The sequence below is a fragment of the Homo sapiens genome, chromosome 6 (assembly GCF_000001405.40).
Source record: "Homo sapiens chromosome 6, GRCh38.p14 Primary Assembly".
NCBI lineage: Eukaryota > Metazoa > Chordata > Mammalia > Primates > Hominidae > Homo > Homo sapiens.
This window is the reverse complement of record NC_000006.12, coordinates 162,086,848-162,110,135: the sequence shown is the minus strand read 5'-3', so window position 1 is coordinate 162,110,135 and position 23,288 is coordinate 162,086,848. Positions and strand designations below refer to the sequence as shown.

The window sequence follows — 23,288 nt, the reverse complement described above, 5'->3', positions numbered from 1 at the left end:
ATTAATTTATTTCTTTTATCCCATAGTACACACACATAGTACATTCAAAAGAATTTTGAAATTGACTAAAACTTAAACTGTTGCAAACAACAAACTTATGAACAGAATTCAACATAGTGTTAAGTAAAACACAGGATTTATGTTAATATTTCTAGACAGTGTTTACTAAATGATTCATGGTATGCAATTGGCATATGATGTTAATTGAATTTGACAAGTGAAACAATGACTAATTTAAGCTTGGGGATATTGTATATGCTTCAGATCCTGAGTAATGTCCAATATACACCTACAGCAACAGTACCAGGAAACAGTTTGACTCATAAACAGCTGAGAAGGCGGTAAATGAAATAAAAAGCAATCTTTGTATAAGTGCTCATTGGATGTTGGAAAGTGTTTAAGGGACAGCATCTGTAGAGAGGAAGAGCTTGGCCAAGACAGCTCCTGTATTAATATATCAGACTATAAATAGCAGAGGAGTGCACACTGTAACTCCTAACTTCTCACTAAGAACTGGTGAAAACTGCAAACACATAAACAAACACCCTATTTCTGCTGAGCTCATGGAGTCAACTCTGTTTACTCATCTGTAGCTTTCCTTCCTTGGTCAGGGTCCGAAGAGCCATAGCTGGTCCCTGTATCATCTCTGCCCCTCATCGTCCTGGCCAGGGCTGCCTTGCGTCCTCACTCATTATTACTTGTATAAAGTCCTGAATTTCTGCACATGCAGTGTTTTGTCATTGGCTATTACTAAGTCAGTTGTATTTTCTAGTGGATTTTATAAAGGATCTACTTCCTGAATACAGCTTTTATCTCTCTCTGTATATTCTTCCAACTTTGCGACTTTCTTTGTCTTACTGATGTAGAAGGTGGAAGTCAACTCTGGAGGTGGGGCTCAGGCACTGGACCAAATTGAGGACTAGCTAAAATAGGGCTGGGCTGGAAGCAGCTTTCCATATGACACACCCACCAGGGTGCTGTGTCAGTTTCCCATTGCCATGGCAACACTTGGGAGTTACTGCCCCTTTTCACGACAACAACTTGGTGACCCTTTTCTAGAAATTTCTTCATAATCCACCCCATGAAATTAAAAGTGGGTATAAATATGGATGCAATGCTGCCTCTGAGCTGCTGCCCTGGCACACTGCCTACGGGGCAGCGCTGCTGCTGCTGTACACCGCCACTTCAGTAAACATTGCTTTTTAACACCACTGACTTACCCCTCAGTTCCTTCCTGGGCAAAGTCAAGAACCCTCCTCAGCTAAGCCCCAGTTGTGGGTCTCACCTGTCCTGTGTCACTGCTACTATAATTAGTGAGTTTGTTCCTGTGATGGTGATTAAATCTATCTAGTCCTACTCAGCACCATCCTATGAAGACTGACTTCTCAACGGTGAATGCAGGAAAATCCTCATCCTTCACAAACAGGTCCTCCGTTCACCGTTCTTTGTCACTGCACTCAGCATCTTTACTGGCTGCTAGGCCTATGTTTAACTAACCCTGTCACACCAACAATTTAATGACCTTTTTAATATTACATATATGGTAGTTAGAGAACTTTAGAATTCAGTCTAATTATCTATTTGAAATACTCTGCGATTTGAGTTCCTGCTATGTTTCAGCTTTTGTTGTTGTTTTCATGGTGGTTGGTAGGAAACACTGACATTTCGTAAAATGTGCGATTTGCTAAGGAAAGGGTTTCTGAAAATTAGTTCAGATGAAATATGCATAATTATAGTAAATACACACATGATCTAGATGTAATATTTAGTGAAGTGCGCTGATTCCTAGTGCATTTAGTGAGGCTGGGTCACAGAAAGAAGCAGTCCTCCCATGGGGAAGCTCCCAGAGGAATGGATTCAAAGGGCTGTAAAGGGCTGTGTCTTCTGGAACAAAGGCTTGTCTTTCTCTTTTGGCTTGGCATTGGCATGTGGAACCATTTGCATAGATTCCCACCACTAAGCATAATGGCAAATCTTTCCCTGTGAAGCAGGAGTGTGGGACGTTTGAAAACCAGGTACATGTTTGGAGCAAACTGAACGTAGGTGTTCCCAAGCAAAGGCATTTGACATATCCTTTCTTGAATGAACAGATAAAAATGCATCCATATGTAATAAGTAATATATTAAAGAAGTGCATAGTGTATATTAAATAGACATAATATGTATTTCCTTCCTTCTTCCTTCATTCCTTCCTCCTTTCTTTTGCAAATAAATTTTGGGCTTGGAACTTAGATTCTATGGGGTTTTCATTTAGAGAAAAAGTCAAAGACTGGTGTTTTTTGACAAACTTGGGAGTAAGAAATAGGAAAAGTTTATGGAAAAGCTGGACAGAAACCTTAGGATCTGGGGTTTGCCTGCCCTGGTAGACACATCTTTGTGATTTTCCTGATAACTTCATACACAACTATGCCTGATGCCTAGTTCACAGCAACAGGAAAAGAGAAAAAGGAACAGTGTTGTTGAGGAGACACCCTAGTGATATAACAGTAACAACAGCCAGGGTTAACAAAGGCATGTACCTCTCCTGGTCAGTGTTATAAAGTTGCTGACTGGGCCATGCTTTAATCTCCAAAATGAGAAACTCTTCTGTTCTCTCTCATTTAAAAGATTAGTTATTTGCTTTATAAATTAGCCACTACTTGGTACAACTTTTTATTCATTTATTTATTTTGAGACAGAGTCTCGCTCTGTCGCCCAGGCTGGAGTACAGAGGTGCGATCTCGGCTCACTGCAACCTCCACCTCCTGCGTTCATGCGATACTCCTGCCTCAGCCTCCTGAGTAGCTGGGATTACAGGCGCCTGCCGCCATGCCCGGCTAATTTTTGTATTTTTAGTAGAGACAGGGTTTCGCCATGTTGGCCAGGCTGGTCTCGAACTCCTGACCTCAAGTGATGCGCCCCCTTTGGCCTCCCAAAGTGCTGGGATTATAGGCCTGAACCATTGAGCCCGGCCTTCAACCTTTTATTTTTAAGCAAGGAATCTTGGTACTCACTCAAGAGTTGTACCTGATGGGGGTTGTGAGAAACTGTTTAAATGATAACTGTTCCCATTTTTTTCTTCTAACCCTACGCTCACCTCTGAGTGAGACTCTTGGAGCATGGGGAATACGGATAGGTTGAGTGACACCGAGCTCCTCATGTGTATTGAAAGAGCAAATGCACAGGTAACCTGAAGCTTTTGAACTGAGAAATTTTCCTACCATAAGAATTCTGGAAAGTGAACAGTGAGGGCTGGGCAGCAAGACTAAGCCCCTCACATTGCCTTTTTGCCCTTCTGGGCTAGTCAGTCAAGACTGGAGTGCATACAACATCGTGACACTTGTGTCCTGAGTAACACAGGAAATGACTCTAGTTCAGTCCCCAGGACAAGGTCAGACATATGCCAGGGGAAGGTATTGGTTAGAGGCATGGAGCTCTATTTCGAATGTGAATGGTTTTCCTTTCCGTGAACTTGTTAAAGTTGTTCTGTGCTGCCACAGTATTGCCTTGTGCAAATCTTCTGATTTGTGCAAAGTCCCAGAAGAAATGACGATAGAATGCTGCTCTCCTCCTAAGTAAAATGAAGAAGTATCTAAGAGAAACAGATGATTCAAAATGCTTTTAAAAATAGATATTAATGAAGTTGAAATGTTTAGGTTATTTCAACTGCTTGGTTGTATTACCATTTAAAATATCTTTAATTATGGATGTAATACATGCTTTCCTGCTTTCTTCATAAAATGAAAAAAAAAAAAAAGGAATTCACTCTCTCATGTCCTCAGTTCTGTTCCCCAGAGTTAGCCACTTGTACGTGTTTCTCCACTTAGTTCTTTTGGGGATTATCATCATCGCGGAGCTATTGATTTATCAACATTAAAATATGCACATTCACCCCCCACCTTGAAAACCTAATAATTTGGCATTCTTTGCCCCACATCTCTTCTCCCAGCCTGTTCCCATTGTTAATCTATCCATCCTCTTCCCGTACTTACGGGAGCTGTAATCATCAAGTGCATTGTTACTTTGAACGACATACTTTAACTCTGATGTATTCAACAAACTTTGATGGAACTTATCAACCAATCATTTTCTATCCACATTTTTCACCACTTTTTTGTCTCCTCCTAAATTCTGTCAGATGTAGTAATACAGTTACATTGACAAGGTTTATAAGATTGTATTATGTGGCCGGGCAAGTATGTATGACGATTGGATCCATGAGAAAGAAATGATATTTGAATGTTTCTCAGCCTGTACTAATCATTAATAATGTTCCAAACCTCAGAGTTTATAGGAGATATCAGTTACTAAAAATCTTATCATATTTTAGTTTGTTTCATATTTGGTTCAGATTTATGCCTTTCTTTTACTGCTCTATTGTTCTCAGAGAAATTGATTTTTATTTTTCTTATTGGTGGAAGAAACATATGCCTTTATGTTATAGTTAAGAATATCTGGGCCGGGTGCAGTGGCTCATGCCTGTAATCCCAGCACTTTGGGAGACCAAGGCAGGTGGATCACGTGAGGTCAGGAGTTTGAGACCCGCCTGGCCAAGGTGGTGAAACCCCATCTCTACTAAAAATACAAAAATTAGCCAGGTGGTGGCACACGCCTGTAGTCCCAGCTACTTCGGAGGCTGAGGCAGGAGAATTGCTCGAACCCAGGAAGTGGAGGTTGCAGTGAGCCGAAATCGCGCCATTGCACTCTAGGCTGGGTAATAAGAGTGAGACTCCATCTTTAAAAAATGAATATTTTATTTATATTTGTAGAATTTGTTGTCATATAATCTCCTTTCTCCTTGAAGGCATTATTTGTTAGTTCCATTCTTTATTTTGATGTGGTTTGGCTGTGTTTATAGCATTTCTCTCCCAATTTGAAGGCACTGCTCTTCTAAAACTTGGCACTACTATTGAGAAGGTGAATTCAATTCGGGCATTTGTTTCATATGTAGGTTTCAGGTGTTATATTTCTTGTAAAACCTCTCAGATTTTCTATCCCCGTTTAGAGCCATAAAATATGTCAAGGTGGGTTCTGTCTTCTTTTCGCTGCATACCCTTTGGGCTGTTTTACTCTAATGCGTGATGAGTGCTTCTCACTTCACTATGATTTTAAAAACCACAGATACGTAAGCTATGCCTCCATAGATTATGGCCAAACAATTGGTATTCTTTGATGCCACCCAAAATCAGAGCATGTAGCCAGCATGGAGAACTAGTCCTTTTATCCTTATTGCCCAGGAAAATATCCTTATTTTTAAAATTATATTCTCCCCTCTCTGATTTCTGCCATCTTCTTTAAGGATGCCTATTAGAATTATTTTACTTCTTAATTTTGCATTTACTTTAAAAATATCTCTTTCTTTGTATATTTTTGTCGTTTTCCTCCTACTCCTGAAACATTTCTTGACTTTATCTTTTTGATCCCCACCCCTAAAAGTGTGGAACGTGGACCAGCAACAATTGGTGTTACACGGTGGGCTTGTTGAGAAATGCTGAATCCCAGAGTCCACGCCTGGCCTGCTGATGCAGGCTGCATTTCATTCTTATTTATTTATTAATAACAAATCTCCTGGTAATCCACTTGCACGTCAGAGTCTGAGAAGCACCGGTTCTTTGATTTCTTCTTCTTTCATGTACCTTCCATTAAACAGTCCTATTAATATGATTAGTTGTTGTCTTTGTGCATCTTGGCATTTCTTTTTCATGTTATTTACTTACCTCCAAAATCAGATGATTCCTGCTTGTTTATTAATATGTGTGGCCAAACAATATGTTAATTAGTATTGGAAGGTTACATAGATTCCCTATTGCATTTTGGAGGCATATGCACACCAGAATCTTGTGCTGGAAATACACCAGTGGAATGTGTGTGTTCAGGCGTCAGGAGGCTTCCCTTGAGGAAGAACAGAGACTGTTCTCATGTTTTACCTGGATTAACTCATTCACCCCTTCCAACCAACCTTGAAGTAGGTGCTGCCATTAGCTCTTCATGGAGATGAGGAGTGCAGGGCACAAGACAAACAAACTGAGTCATGCAGTAAGTGGTAGAGCTGAGATTGAAACCCAGGCAGCCTGGCTTCCCAGACCATGATCTTAATGGCCGCACTGCAGAAGGCCTCTCCTTTGCTTTGAGCCCTTCATGGAGGGGCTTTGCTCTGTGGCCCTCACCTCCACAGCACAGGCTGCCATCCCCTGAGACTCCACTTGCCCTCTTGGCCCAGCTTAAATCGTATAAGGCCGACCCTCTCGGAGCATCTTATGCTCTTTCGAGAACAGTGCCCAGGATTTCACAGCTACATACAGGTGAGGAAGAGGAGGCAGCTGGCAGAGGCATTTTACTGAGCATCTCCTAAGGGACAGTGCTAAACACTGCCACTCTCATCTGCCGTCTGAGGCTAGGTCCCTTCATTGTGAATCCGGGCCTTTCTGGGCTCAGAAGGCCCACTGCCCTGGCGTTCCTCTGAGTGCTAGTTTCAATTTCTCATCTCTGGAGTTTGTTTTGTTTGCTGATATCATCCTCTATTTTTTTTTTTTCAGAAGTTAAAATGTAGCTAAGAGTTCTCCCAGAAATTTAAATATTTTTGCAATGTTTGATATATTGCCCTTATCAAGTTAGAGACTTCTGTTCCATTCCTGGTTTACTCTGTTGTTCTTTTCTGTTTGCTTTAATAGTAAAGTTATGGACTATTATTAAGTCATTGCGTCCGTATTATAAGAGATAATAAGTGCTTTACCTTTCAGTTTCTTCCTATTTTAAATTACATTGATGGGGATTTTTCAGATGATAAACCATCCTCACATTCTTGAGATAAATCTTGATGATGGGATATTATTTGGATTCTGTTTCATATGTATACTTACAAGTGAAATGGAATTTCATCCTCATTTTCTTTTATTGCTCCTGTTTTATTTAGAAATTAATTTAAACAAAACTGAACAGCTTTTTTTCTTTTTCTTTTTTTTAAACATGAAGGAATTGGAATGTTACTTGAGAGTTTAGTGGAACTCACTTATAAAACCCTCTGATCCTGTTTTTTTTAAAACCATTTTATTTTAGCTAATACACATTTTCATTCAAGTTATGTATTTCTTTTTTTCTTTTTTTTTTTTTTTTTGAGACAGAGTCTCGCTCTTTCGCCCAGGCTGGAGTGCAGTGGCGCGATCTCTGCTCACTGCAAGCTCTGCCTCCCGGGTTCACGCCATTCTCCTGCCTCAGCCTCCCAAGTAGCTGGGATTACAGGTGCCCGCCACCACGCCTGGCTAATTTTTTGTATTTTCAGTAGAGACGGGGTTTCACCGTGTTAGCCAGGATGGTCTCGATCTCCTGACCTCGTGATCCGCCTGCCTCGGCCTCCCAAAGTGCTGGGATTACAGGCGTGAGCCACCGCGCCCGGGCAAGTTATGTATTTCTGCCCTGTGTGTTCTTCATCAGCAGTGTGCCATGCCCTCTATTTCTTCTAGAAATTGGGCTTTGTAGTTTGGTGGACCCACAACCACTTTTCCAACTTTCATGCTTTAAGAAGGCATGGATCTTTTAGATAAAATACCTGCGTATGTTTTTCAAATATTTGTGCAAAAAATAGTGAAGGTCGTCTCCAGAATGCAGCATGAGCAGTCGAAGAAAATATTTATGTATCAGTTTCCCCGTTTTCATGAGCGCTTTACTTATCTTTTAAGATTAATAATGTAATTGTTTTTATACACCATGTCTAGATTAACCTAACTAGATAGAGGAAAGTATTGATGATTGCCATTAATTGTTATTGTTTTCCTATATGCAAATGTAGCCAGGACCAAAAGAGACATGGCACCTAAATGCAAGGCATAGTCTTAGCTGGTGCATAACTAATGCAGGAACAGAAAACCAGACACCGCACCTTCTCACTTATAAGTGGGAGCTGAACAGTGAGAACACAGGGACACAGGGAGGGGAACAACACACACTGGGGCCTACTGGGGGATGGGTGGGGGGACGGAGAGTATTGGGAATAATAACAAATGCAAGCTGGGTTTAATACCTAGGGGATGGGTTGATGGGGCAGCAAACCACCGTGGCACACGTTTACCTATGTAACAAACCTGCACGTCCTGTACATGGACCCTGGAACTTAAAATTAAAAAAGAGAAAATTAGAAAAATGAAAAACATGGTAAGAAAGAACATAATTGAGACAACTTACATCAGGCCTGTGGATTAAATGCTAATAGTGTATCAATGTGAGTTCCTGATTTTGGTGAATGGACCAATTGTGTAGAAGAATGTCTTGTTTTTAGGAAATACACAGTAAAGTTTTCAGGGATGATGGAGCATCATGGCAGCAACTTACTCCCAAAAGTAGTTATGTAAATAAAGCTGGAGGCATCACACTACCTGCCTTAAAATATATACCACATAGTTAGAGTATCTCTAGAGATATAGAGAGTTATAGTATCTCTAGATCTCAGATATAAATCCACACATATACAGTCAATTGGTTTTTTTTTTTAGAGACGGAGTCTCGCTCTGTTGCCTAGGCTGGAGTGCAGTGGCACGATCTCGGCTCACTGCAAGCTCCACCTCCCGGGTTTACGCCATTCTCCTGCCTCAGCCTCCCAAGTAGCTGGGACTGCAGGCGCCCGCCACCACGCCCGGCTAATTTTTGTATTTTTTTTTTAGTAGAGACAGGGTTTCTCCACGTTAGCCAGGATGGTCTCGATCTCCTGACCTCGTGTTCCGCCCGACTCGGCCTCCCAAAGTGCTGGGATTACAGGCGTGAGCCACCGCGCCTGGCCCAGTCAATTGGTTTTTGACAAAGACGCCAAGAATACATAACGGGGAAAGTACTGTCTCTTCCATAAGTGGTGTTGGAACAACTGGATATCCACAAGCAGAAGAAGGAAATGAGACCCTTATCTGACCTCATATACAAAAATCAACCCAAAGTGGATTAAAGCTGTAAATGTAAGAACTGAATCTGTAAAGCTCACAGAAGAAAACACAGAGGAAAAGCTGCGTGGTATTGATATGGCCAGTTATTTTTTGGATATGACTCCAAAAGCACAAGCAACAAAAGGGAAAATAGGTGGGAATGCATCAAACTAAAGAACTTCTGTATCAGCCACGCAACAATCAGCAGAGTGAAGAGACAACCTATGAAATGGCAGAAAATATTTGCCAACCATACATTTGATAAGAGGTTAATATTCAAAATAGATAAGGAACTCAAAAACTCAATAGTTAGAAAATAAGTAACCCAATTTAAAAATGGGGTAAAGAAACAGAATAAACTTTTCTCAAAAGAAGTCATACAAATGGCCAACAGGTATATGAAAAAATACTCCACATCATAAATTATCAGGGAAAAAATTATCATTAAAACCACAATGAGATATTACCTCATACCTGTTAGGATGGCTGTTATCAAAAAGACAAGAGATGGCCGGGCACGGTGGCTCATGCCTGTAATCCCAGCACTTTGGGAGGCTGAAGGGGACAGATCATCTGAGGTCAGGAGTTTGAGAGCAGCCTGGCCAAAATGGCAAAACCCTCTCTGTACTAAAAATACAAAAGTTATCTAGGTGTGGTGGTGGGTGCCTGTAATGCCAGCTACTCAGGAGGCTCAGGCAGGAGAATCGCTTGAACTCAGGAGGGAGAGGTTGCAGTGAGATGAGATTGCACTCCAGCCTGGGTGACAAAGCGACATCTATCTTAAAAAAAAAAAAAAGACAAGAAAGACAAGAGATAATAAGTGATAAGCGCTGGCAAGGACGTGGAGAAAAGGAAAGCCTTGTACACTGTTGGTGGGAATGTAAATTGGTACAGCCATTATGGAAAACAGCTCAAAAGTTAAAAATAGAACTGTCATATGACCCAGTGGTCTCACTTCTGGGTACGTATCCAAAGGAAACAAACCAGCATGTCAAGGGATGTCTGCACTCCCATGTCCTTTGCCGCACTATTCACAATAGCCCAGGTAGGGACCTACCTAAGTGTCCATTGACTGATGAATGAATAAAGAAAATGTGTTATATTTATAAACACAATAAGATACCATAGGACCTTTTAAAAGAACAATACCCTGTCATCTGTGACAACATGGATGAACCTGAAGGACATGATGTTACATAAAATGAGCCAGGCACAGAAAAACAAATATTGCACGGTTTCACGTATACGTGGAATCTAAAAACACTGAAATCTGAGAAGTAGAGGGTAAAATGCTGGTTGCCAGGGGCTGGAAGTTGGGGCTGTGTGTGGGCGGGGAGGTGTTGGTCACAGGAAGCAAACTTTCAGTGAGTCAGGAGGAAAAAGTGATGTATTGCACAGTATTGCACAATATGGTGACTGTAGTTAATAACAATGTATTACATTCTTGAAAATCACTAATGACTAGATATTCGGTGTTGTCACCACAAAAAATAAGTATATGAGGTAATGCACATATTGTCTCAATTTAGCTGTTCCACAACACATACATATTTCAAAACAACATTATATACAATAAATAGATATCATTTTTGTTGATTTAAAAATAGTTATTTGTACTGTGCTTGCAATGCTAAGTTTGAGGTTGTTTCATAAAAGACATACATGTATTATACTTCAATTAAACATTTCAACAAAGTATTATCCTGTTGCCTCTTTTATGCCAGGAATTACAATTAAAGCCGTTAGAAGGGAATTTGTAAAATTAAAAGTGCTAGAAGTCATTGGTGTTACATATTCATAGGTTCTGAAGAACTGTTTCTCCAGGGAGGGGTACGCTTCTGTCAAAAGCTGACTTTCAGTAAAAAACAGTTTAACTTGTTTCAGTATGAAATTTATGTTAAAAAGAAATTACAAGTTTAACAAAACTAGTCATGTAGGAAAAAACCCTACTTTTAAAAATATGCCTTAGAATAATCTGAAATGCCCTGAATGGTCAAGGTCACCAGGTCTTCACAGAGAGCTCTTAATCCCAAGATTGTACCTGACGGCCCGTGGCCAGAGGTGATTCCATGGGAACCTCAAGCTGAATTTAAAGGAATTTCAACGGTGTTAAAGTTGGAAATGGCATGGAAAAATGTATGCTGGCCTCAATTAATTTTCTTCTTTTTTTAAAACAAGTATGTATATGTACTGTTATCCAACACCCTCTTCAAAGCACAAAGAGCTTTTATTAAAAGCTATAGTACCTTGAAAAATGCATGGCTTCTGTGTGTGAAAATGTCAAGTGTAACGGACTCCAGATTTTGTATATTCGTCCTGGTGGCAGAGTGACAAGTCCACATCTCATTCCACATCCATCCACCCCTCTTCACTTGCTGCTTTAGAGTTCCTGATAGGGAAACACCATTCTCTTTCCTGAGCCTGCAAGGCTAAGTCCTTTTCAAGCCAACGTACTGAGGAATGAGTACTGGACAAGTTAACCCTTAATTCTCACAAGTACATGGAAGAAATGTCTTCCAATCACTCCGAATCTGACTTTTACAGGATAAGTAGGAATAATGTAGAAATTTTAGATTAAGAGTAAAATATAGGAAGGAAGGATTTTCTAGGTAGGGAACTCAGCTTGAGTGCAGCCATGACCTGAAAGGTTGTACGTAAGCACAGTAAACTACAAATAAATGTTGATGAAGATATTGAGAGATGTAGCTGCGAGCATAGGCATGGGGTTTCTGGGAGTCCTAAGTAGCAGCTTAGTGTCCAAATAGCTTAGACTTTTCCTGGGCTCCAAAATCAGTTGATGCATCCCAACGGATGCGAAACATACCATCAGTGTGCAGGAATAAAATACTAGGACTTTCATTTATATTAATTTTTAATCAAAGCAAATAGGAAAAACCCCTCACTTTGCTCATGGTATGCCCACTCCCAGTTGCCTGAATATTTCTGATGGTCACAGGTAACATTTGGGAAAAGCGGACATTCCTGTGTGCCAGCATTGATTTGTCTCCTGTAGCACATAATAGTGTTTTGCAGTTGACATGATCCTCGTTTAAACTAAAGCAACTCTTACAAAATGAAATAGTATTGAAGACTATACTAAGGCACTTCACCAGCCACATTAACAAGCAAAAAAAGAAAAGAAAAAGATGGTTTTATCAGATCTGACAAGAGTTAAGCACTATTTGAAATAAGAATTCATATCCACCACTATTAACCATGAGCCTTGTCCTCAGGGAGTGTTGTGCAATGTGATGCTGACTGCTAACAGTGTGAGGCTGAGACCATGGTCAACGCTCTTACCAAGAAATCACCTAAAACTTGAAGACAAACTTTGGTGAAGTCATCGGTAATTAAAAAATTTCACCAGCATTAGAGTACCATTGGAAGCTTTTCGTTGGTTTCCTACTCAATAGTGAAAAACAAATAACCACGTGTCAACATTGTAATTCTCTCATTTGGATCTGTTCTTAAATTCTAAGCAGTGTGTATTTTATGGTGTACTTAATCTCTTAGTAGAGTAATGCATATAAAATTTGTGAATAAACAAGATGCTTTGGGGGCTGTGTGCTCACATTTTTTACTAGTAAGTATGCCTAGTCAATCACACGTGGAAACAACCATGCAAGGTGGAACCACTGGAGATTTTAGGCAGAGAAGTGAAATGGTTAGCCTAGAGGTGAAGGAATGAACATTACAACTATTCAGCAGGCAAAATTTATTTCCTTAACCACCATTACGGAAATTCTCCAAGTTGCATTGACTCACATTTGAATCCTGTCTCCACCACTTGCTGTGTATGTATTTGGGAAAATTACCTCAACTTTCTAAGCCTTCGGTCATCCATTTGTCAAATGAGTGTGTGACTCTGCTCTTACAGACTTTGGGACAGCTCATGTGGATGATGTATGTGATGTGCTTGAACACAAGACACATAATATGTGTTCCAGCATAATATTCTCTTAAATTGCATTTATCTAAATGGTACACATTAGCTATATTTTGACAGACAGTTTTAACTTTTTTCCTAAAAAAAATCATACTATACGTGCTCTTTTCATGTTAAATAATAATTTTTGGCCAGGTACAGTGGCTCACGCCTGTAGTCCCAGCACTGTGGGAGGCCAAGGCGGGCAGATCACGAGGTCAGGAGTTCAAGACCAGCCTGACCAACATGGTGAAACTCTGTCTCTACTAAAAACACAAATAATTAGCTGGGCCTGGTGGCATGTGCCTGTAATCCCAGCTACTCAGGAGGCTGAGGGAGGCTGAGGCAGGAGAATGGCTTGAACCCGGGAGGCAGAGGTTGCACTGAGCCAAGATCCTGCCAGTGCACTCCAGCCTGGGTGACAGAGCAAAACGAGACTCCATCTCAAAAAAAAAAAAAAAAAAAAAAAAAAAAAAATTCCAGCTGTATGAGTCCATTCTCACACTCTGATAAAGACATACCCAAGACTGGGCAATTTATAAAAAAAAAAGAGGTTAAATGGACTCATAGTTCTGCATGGCTGGGAGGCCTCCCAATCATGGCAGAAGGTGAAAGGCAAAGGCACATCTTACATGGCGGCAGGCAAAAGAGAATGAGAACCAAGCGAAAGGGGAAACCCCTTATACAACCATCAGATCGTGTGAGACTTATTCACTACCAGGGGAACAGTGTGGGATAAACCACCCCCATGATTCAGTTATCTTCTGCCAGGTGCCTCCCACAACATGTGGGAATTATGGGAGCTACAATTCAGGATGAGATTTGGGTAGAGGCACAGCCAAACCATATCACCAGCTATAGTACGGTTAGTCCTTGAAATAGGAGTGCTTTGTAAGTGAAACATACAATGTGAGTCAAATTTTCATCTTCTCTAAAATATTGATTAAAGGGCTAATGGAACAGGTTGGCTTATCTATTTTTATATGCTTGTACTTTTAAAACTACACAAAATTGGATGTGAATGGAGGATTAATAGCTAATTTATAGCTAATTCTTAGAGTTTAGGGAACAGAGTGAGAAGCAGCCTGGACATTCTAGAAGGTGTTTGGGGTGCATCCTAATCTGTGGTAAAACAAATCCTCGGGTTCTGATCTGTTATTAATGCTCCAGAAGCACCAATCTTACAATCTACACATGTGTAGATATCTCTGTCGTTATAGTTGGCAGCATACCTACCATCTTGCTAACTTGTCTGATCCACATATGAAATAAGTGCTCCAAAGGAGTAAGTACGTTCCCTGTATGGACACATTTTTCACTCTGTGCACTCAATCCCATCAAATAACCAAGACCTCTTCTGCAGATGGAATGCTGTTAGGCACTGTGGGTGTGTGTCCAGGATCTTCTTTAACTTTATCCTCTCGATGACACTCTGAACTTAGTATCGCTGTCCTTATTTTACAGATGAGGAAACTGTGGCCCTCTGAGAGAAATAAATTGTCCAAGATCTCAAAGCTATGCAGGATACAAGGTAGCCTGGAGACACACACCTGTCCACCTCTGGAGCCCACGTTCTTGATACCAAACCATTCCTGCACCAGAATTCTTTCTGGATATTAAGTTTGCATCAGTATACCTCCTGAAATCATGAGAGCCTTTGAAAAGAAATGCAAAATGAGTAAATACAGATATTTAGGCAGGTATCAGAAACATTGCACAGGATTGTGAGTTATTCTGCAGATGTAAAAATATAAAATTCATTACATTATTACTTAAATTAATAGGTCAGCGATCGTAACTGCTGAAATCTCAGCAATTTTTACATAAAAATAAAATAATTAATCTCTCCATGTAAACTATAAAAACATTTAAATAACCTCTCAACATATATGGTGTGCTGCATACCAAATTCAAAGCTAACCAGTTCATTCTAGTCAGCTCCAAGCCAACATTTACCTCTAAGCACCTTCCCCTCAAAGGGCAATAAGAATGAAACCCAGAGTTCCACAATCTGCTCATCTTGTTCATTTTTAGAGTCGGGGAGGTGTAGGCCTCGTGAGGACTAACCTATCTCTGTAGTGGCATATTTGTGACCAGGACCTTATTTCTTTCAAAATATATTTGATCATCTCTAACTCCAGAAAAGTCAAAATTCCTGTATGGATAGAATTCACTTGTAGTAATTCTAAAGCCACCTTGTCGAAAAGCCTTCCCCTGAAGACCCAGTAGAAAGATGGCTTCACCCCAGCCATCTTCAGCCTTCTTTGTTTTTCTTCATAGTGTCAGTCTGTCCACCTACCATCTCTCCATCTGTGTGACTGTCCATGTACCCATCTGGCATCTATCTACCTATCATCTATCTATCTATACATCTCCATCAATACTATTTGCATGAATACACACACATATTCATAGTTAAAAATCTAGACTATACACAAAATAGAAGGCTTCATAATGTTTCTCTGAATAGGAAATGTCTAAATACATTTAACAGATTAAAATTTCCCTCCTAAATTTACATAGTTTATTTCAGGAATAGTTTTAAATGTGGGCAAACTAAGTCGTGGGACAGGAGTTGAATTTTACCACAATTTGTTTTAAAGTGACTTAAAACTAATAATGGAAAATGAAACAATGTTACCGAGAGAGCTTGACAATTCACAAATTCAGATCTTGCTGTGGTAAGAATATGAATAGTCTTTCCAGTCACATGAGAAACATTCAAAGTCCTTCAAATAATGATACTTCCTCTCACTATGTCAGGGCCCTCCCAACATAGCCTTGCCTTTCCAAATTAAATTAAATTAATTAATTAATTAATTACTTTATTTGTTTATTTCCTAAGACAGGGTCTTCCTCTGTCACCCAGGCTGGAGTGCAGTGGCACAAACACAGCTGCCTGCAGCCCCAACCTCCTGGGCCCAAGCAATCCTCCTGCCTCAGCCTCCCATGTCGCTGAGACCACAGATGCGTGCCACCACACCCGGCTCACTTTTTTAGTAGAGATGGGCTCTCGCTTTGTTGCCCAGGCTTGTCTTGAACTCCTGGGCTCATGCAGTCCTCCCACCTCAGGCTCCCAACGTGTTGGACTTATAGGCATGAACCACCACACCCAGCCACCTTTCCAACTTTTCTTCCTGCAGCCCCAGCTCACAGATGGGCACTGGGCTGCTTGTTGGTTCTTGATTTCCACCCCTTGCTCTACCTACTCAGTCAGTGTCTGTGTTTTCGTCTCATCTCGACGTGCTGCCTCGCTCAGACAAATGGAACCACTGCCCAGTGCTTATCTTGCTTGAGCTGGGTTTTCTTTGTCCCGTTTTGCATTCCCGAGACACCTTGTCTTCTGACTGATTCTGCACAGAGCATAGTAGATAACGTTTGAGGTTCATTTAATGTATTCATGTGTCCATCCTTTCTTTTATTCAGTGAACATCTATTCTGAGTCTGCATGTGCTCAGCACGAGGTGAGGTGCAGAGGAAACAAGGAAGACCACGGCTTTGTCCCTGCTTTCAGGGAACCCCTAGCTGCTGAGAAGCATGGATGCACAGTCAAGCCGTTATGAGTTACGGGGGGTTTAAAGCAAATGCCTGCGGTGCTGCTTAAGAGATACTTCCCATTATATATGTGTGTGTTCTTCAGATGTGACTACTTCACATAAATGTTTAGGGGGTACAGGAGAGCACAGCTACCCCACGCACTGACAAGAAGGTCCTTTTACATTCAAGTACATCTGTTTTGAGGTGAAATCTGTTTGAACCAAAGTAATGGGCTAAATTGTATAATTGGGTCTGTATCTTTCTTAGAGAGAGAGGGGCAGACAGGTTAGTGCGGGAGAATTTTACTGGCAAGGTGTTAAAGAGAAAAGATATGAGTGTGCCTCTATTACCAGTAATACACGGAGATCTGCAAATTGGTTAATAACTACAGGAGAAGAAAGTGCAGGAACTGCCGCCTCTGGGTTTCCTTTGCCCCATGAGGAGCGTGATGCTAGAGTTCCTGGTAGAGGCAAGGAAGAGGAAGTGCAGCTAATAATTTGAAGATATTTACACCTTTCCTAGTCTGTTTCACAGTACAAAGGCATTAGTGGGAGTGACAGGAACAAGTTATAGACCATTTATTTAGGCTATCTGGAAGGATTTAATCTCACCTGGGTCATGGAGTTGCGTATTTTCTGGGAATTGGGGCTACTGTGATAGCCCTATCTGTAGGCCTGGCATCCAAAGATAAGAGTTTAAGTCTGGCTGGAATTAGAAGCGACAGAATTAGCTAGAACGCAAGCCTGAAAACCTTTTGGTTCAAATTGTGAAATGCCTCTGGGTGGCAGTTCCAATCTGTCCTGATGGAGCTTCGGCTCTGAGAGCTAAGCGTGAGGCAGACATCAGTAACATCAAGGACGTTTCTGCAGTGTGCACAGGAAATCCAGCCCTGGATGATGCAGTTTATACTTTTCATCCATCTTAAGGCTCCATCATAATATGTCTCCAGAAGACTAATTTTCTACTTCGTCAGCATCCGAATGTTTATTTTTTAAAAAGAACCCATAAACATGTTTGAAAGGCCAGTGATTTTAGAATCTATGAGGTAGCTTTGTATAGAACTTGCTCGTTTATATCACTTTGAAATATCAGAAATAGAAGTTATTAAAACATAAAACAGCAGATAATGATGATACTAGTGTATTTCTTAGTTACATATACCTTATTAGCCCCTTAAACTGTGTATTTCAGACTTATGGAGTATGACCCACATATGTATATTTATTTACTAGGTAGTATCATAAGACCAACATAATAATGCATGCAATTAATAGATTAGCAGTAGACTTACAATAGGATGGGAACTCAATTGTGAATGATTTAAAACAAAATTTTTTATAATAATCACCGACTATAAATGTTACTTCGTCAAAACAAAATTTATTGCTTCAACTGTTAGTGGTAAACTTTTTTTTCATTTTTTTATTTTTTATTTTTTCATTAGACTCACTCTGTCACCCACGCTGGAGCGCAATGACGCAATATCAGCTCACTGCAACTTCCGCCTCCCAGGTTCAGTGATTCTCCTGCCTCAGCCTCCCGAGTAGCTGGGACTATAGGCGCTCGCCAACATGCCAGGCTAATTTTTGGTATTTTTAGTAGAGCCGGGGTTTCGCCATGTTGGCAATCTGGTCTCAAACTCCTGACCTCAGGTGATCTGCCCGCCTCTGCCTCCCAAAGTGCTGGATTACAGGAGTGAGCCACTGCACCTGGCCTATTAGTGGTAAACTTGTATGACCTTTTTCTTTTCTTTGAGACAGAATCTCTTTCTGTTGCCCAGGCTGGAGTGCAGTGGCCCAATCACAGCTTACTACAGCCTTGACCTCCTGGGCTCAATGGATCCTCCCACCTCAGCCTCCCAACTAGCTTGAACTACAGGCATGTGCCACCATGCCCGGCTAATATTTGTAATTTTTGTAGAATCGGCTCTCACTTTGTTGCCCAAGCTAGTTTTGAATTCCTGGGCCCAAGTGGTCCGCCCACCTCAGCCTCCCAACATGCTGGGATTACAGGATTGAGTCACGGCATTTGTCTGGCCTTTTTCTTTCTACTGATAAAATTAAACAAAACATAGTGCTACACAATATGGTGGAGGCAGAAGATTCAAATATACCTGGATTCTCTGTTTCCAATCAAGGTGAATACCCTGTCTGCCCTGTATACTTTTAGAAAACCAGACGATCGGTGCCTGCAGAGAGTTCACCTGTCCTTGTGATGTTCATTTACATGAAAAAATAGTTCAGTAAGAATTGCAAAGCATTTCTAGTAGGTCGTAGGTCCCTGCATAATGGGATCGCAATCCTAGACATATCCACACTTTCTACATTTTAATAATTCTGTGTTGATGGTGATGTTTGTAAGTCTGATTTTCATAGTAAATCTCAGCTTAAGTGTTTAAAAGCCTCTTTAAACCAAATGGGAGAAGTATAAGCTCTATTAGTAAACTGTATTTATTCCATCTTCTTCCATTTTTCAGCTCATTTCTGTCTTTTTGTAGGCAGTTATCGGATGTAAATAGCTATCATCTTTATTACTAAAATGCATCCTTTAATCAGATAGCACATTTTTAGATGTCATGTAACTACAAAGTATAGTTAGATCATGGCCCTGCCCATAACTTTAAAAAATGCTTATAATCATGTAACAGTAATATGCCTTAACAGAAAAAAAAAAAAAGGATAGCAAGAGAAATAAATAAATCTGTAACAAAATGGGATGGTATTTCTACTAATATGAATGATATTTCAAGAGGTCCCAAGGGAGCTAGCAAGGCTATTTAAAGTGAAGCCACATGGTTGCTAATTAAGAATCTTGTATTATACTGGCAAGTGTAAATAGCTGGAAAGCAATGAGGGGTGCACTTTTGTGGCCACGAATTACCAAATAGAACTCAGACTGTGGCGTCTGTCTCTTCATGTTCACTATGAATCATCAAATTCCATGGTAAATCTTAGGGTCTAGCATTTTCCAAACCTTCAGCACTAGAGAAAAACACATTTACATTTCTGTCATTCTAGATAGGAAATGTCAGTTCAGATTATATTCTGCCTTTTTTGGCTTCATATTTTGTCTGAAACATCGTCCTACATCATTGCAAAGTTATCACGGCTCTTTAGTCAAAATATCCCGGTGTATTGCAATTAGACACTTGTATATTTGATGTCGTTGTGTAGCTAGAGCTTTTGTAATTTTCCATATGTAAAAAAGAAAGAAAATCACTAGACCATAAGAGAATATTAAGAGAAAATGTGGCTTCTCTGTATTTAGTTCAATGGATAATATATATAGGCAAAACAAGTGAAATGTAAGCAGAACCAGTGACCTCTTCAGTAATGTTATTGCCTAATTTAATTGCTTTTTTATTCTGGTCACTACTTTCTGCCACTAGGAAAATGTAGGGCATGCTGATTGAGGGATAACTATTTTAAAATAAAATGTAAACAGAAGTTTTCCAGAAATAAACTTCAACTGGCCAACTATATGTTACTTGTGTCTAAAATATAAATCCACTATAAGTTTTTATAACATTAGGGTAACAATGTATTAAAAGTATGTGAAGCCTAACACGACTTCTCTAGACATACATCCTTCCTTATAATGATCTGATACACACACACACACCTGTACACAGACACACACACACACACAAATACTGCGTGGTTCCTCAGCACTTTTAGGCTGGCTTATGGAATCTAAGATACCACCTTATCTGCCTTTCAAAAAAATAACAGTTGATTGACTTAATTTTCCTAACATTAAATTGACCATCTTTACGTGTACAGTTTAGTAGTGTATTCATAGAGTTGTGTAATCATCAACACCATCAAATTTTAGAACACTGCCATAATTCCCAAAAGGAAAGCCTGTACACAGTAGCAGTCACACCCCATGCCCCTGCTCACTTCCCTCTTCCCCGAGTACCTGGCTACCACAAATTGACTTTGTCTCTATGAATTTGCCTAATTGGGAGATTTATTTAAATGGAAACATGTAATACGTGGTCTTCTGTGACTGCCTGCTTTCGCTTATGACGTTTAAAAGTTCATCCATATTTGCGACTTGTGGTACCTCATTCCTTTTTATTGCCAAATAATATTCCATTGTATGAATATACTGCATTTTGTTTATGTATTCATCAATTGATGGGCATCTGGGTTGTTTCTACTTCCTTGCTATTAGAAAAATGCTGCTGTTACTGATCATGTACGAGTTTTTATATGGACATACATTTTCTTTTCTTTTGGATATATACCTAGAAGGGAAGTTGCTGGAGATATGGTAACACTATTTTAAGGTATGCCACTCTTTAAAAGTGGCTGTACCAATTTCCCTTTCTGCCAATAATGAATGAGATTTACAATTTACCTATGTTCTTGACAGCACCCGTTATTCTTTTCTTGTTTGTTTTAAATTTTAGCAATATTTGTAGGTGTGAAGGGACATCTCATAATTTTGATTTATATTTCCCTAACGACTAATGATGCTGATCTTCTTTTCAAGAGTTTATTGGGCCATTTGTATAACTTCCTTGGAAAAATGTCTATTCAGATTCTTTGCCCATTTTTTAATTGGGTTATTTGTCTTCTCCTTGTTAAGTTGTAAATGTTCTTTATATATTCTGGACAGAGGTTTTTTATGACATATGTGATTTGCATTTATTTCCTTCCTTTTGGTGGGTTGTCATTTTACTGTAGTGATGATGTTCTTTGAAGAACAAAAGTTGTAGTTCAGTGTGTATATGTTGTCTTTGTTCGCTCATGTTTTTGGTGCCAGATCTAAGTACCTTTTCCAAACCCAAGGTCACAAAGGTTTACTCCTAAATTTTCTTCTGAGACTGTTATAGTTGTATCCCTTGCATTAGGCCTCTTATCCATTTTGACTTAATTTTTATATGTAATGTGATGTAGGAACTCAGCTTCATTCTTTTGCATATGCCGTTTATTGAGGGGATTATTTTTCCCCATTGAATCATCTTGTTACCCTGTTGAAAACGAATCAAATATTTGGTTGAACTTACCAAGGTATCCCCTGGACCTGGACTTTTCTTCTTGGCAGTTTTAAAATTAGTAACGCAATGTCTTTACTTGTTATGGGTCTATTCAGATTTGATATGTCGTCTTCAGTGAGTTCTGGTAGGTTGTGTCTTTCTTGGAATTTACCCGTTTCGTGTAAGTTATCTATTTGTTGGTATAATCTTATCTTTTACCAGTGAACTATCAGGATCCAGATTGTAATCTCTTTGTTCATTTCCTAAACAAATACACAAAATTTTGACTAAAATTTTACTAAGCCAATTTAATTTTTTCTAATAAATGCAATTATCTTAAGGATTAGAAAGATATAACAAGTAGCTTAGAAAATTGACAAAATATCCAGTAAATTTTAAAACTAGCTATCTGTTATTCATTTACTGTTTTCCAGTGATTGAGAAAAACAATTTTTTCTAGCTCCCCATTAACTCGGTAACTGCTGAGAGATAATAAGGATAATGAGGTCACGTGATGACCCTAGCTCTCACCCCTTTGGTCATCAGGGTGCCCTAAGAATCTTCAGAAACTTTCAGGGACATTTATCTTACTGAATCATAATATGGGTTCAGAATCAATTTAGTCCATAGTCACTATTTTTGTTTCTTTGCCCAATTCCCTGTTGAATTATGAGACTGTGGATAATATTGTGCCCTCTCTAAAGGTCCTCATTGATGTGGGACAGGGTTAGAAATTGGAGCCTGTACTGGATTGCATCCCTTGCATCCCCTAATTTGTCTATCTCTTTCTATCTTTGCATTCTGATGACTCTCTCTCAAGCCAGAGGAGCGTTAGTGCTCCTGCGTTTAGGAAGCTGGAATGTCCACGCTGTGCATACTCTATTTGCATTACTATTGTTTAGAAATTATTGGCCGGGCGCAGTGACTCATGCCTGTAATCCCAGCACTTTGGGAGGCTGAGGCGGGTGGATCACGAGGTCACGAGATCGAGACCAGCCTGACCAACATGGTGAAACCCCGTCTCTACTAAAAATAGAAAAATTAGCTGGGCGTGGTGGCGTGTGCCTGTAATCCCAGCTACTCAGGAGGCTGAGGCAGGAGAATTGCTTGAACCTGGGAAGCGGAGCTTGCAGTGAGCCGAGATCGCGCCACTGCACTCCAGCCTGGTGACGGAGCGAGACTCCGTCTCAGAAAAAAAAAAAAAAAAAAAAAGAAATTATTCTCTAAGCACCTGTAGGCCCTCCACTCACCCACTTGAAGCAGAAACCATGCTTCCTTTCATAGGGAAGCACAGTGCCTAGCGTAAAGTAGGTGCTCGTTTCTGGCCCAATTTTTAAAAAAATAATAAAATTCTAATCTGTGCCAACTCCAAATCTATTTTGATGAACTTCAAATGTATATTTGATTTTTCTTTCTACTACCCTTTCCTTAAGGGCATTCTCATGTTCTCAACTCTTTTATTAAAACTGATTTTTAGGAAAGTTTTTGATACTCTTTATATTGATATCTTAATGTAATTTTAGTCATTATATTACAACCAGGGGCATTTTCATTTGAAACATTTTCTAATATCATGGAATGAGAGAGTCTACCCATAGGTGAAAAAGGTAAGTGGTGCTTACATTAAAACAAAAATAAAACAAACACTGGCTCTGCCTTGGGGATGTATCTGTATTTTCTGAGCCCATGTCAGTGATGACCTGAGCACTGGACAGCTGGGGGACCTTAGAAAATGAGGTCCCTAAATGAAGTGAGTCCAGTGAAGTATGCAATTGGGAACCTCTGTGGCATATTATTTGCTTTCTAAAGTTCATATTTCCTTGTATTTTCATATTTGTATTAATGGCTCAATTTACGCTTGAATTTCCTTCATGTATAATTAATTCTTCAGCAATTTCATTCCACAAATACGAACTGTGAGCCTGCATGGCAGTAGACTAGTCACTGGAATTCA

The 23,288-nt window shown here is 39.9% G+C and overlaps 1 protein-coding gene across 6 annotated transcripts in view, besides 1 other annotated feature; it reads left to right on the top strand.

The window, feature by feature from the left end:
• PRKN (parkin RBR E3 ubiquitin protein ligase) overlaps positions 1-23,288 on the top strand; it is a 1,380,350-nt gene that overhangs the window by 617,631 nt on the left and 739,431 nt on the right. The window lies entirely within an intron of this gene.
• Positions 9,745-10,944: an enhancer, noted in NCBI's record as "P300/CBP strongly-dependent group 1 enhancer chr6:162520224-162521423 (GRCh37/hg19 assembly coordinates)". NCBI's record gives its function as "activates an origin of replication core promoter dependent on BRD2, BRD4, P300/CBP, MED14 and CDK7 cofactors, with strong dependence on P300/CBP, by STARR-seq in HCT116 cells {active_cell/tissue: HCT116}" and the evidence as "EXISTENCE:reporter gene assay evidence [ECO:0000049][PMID:35650434]".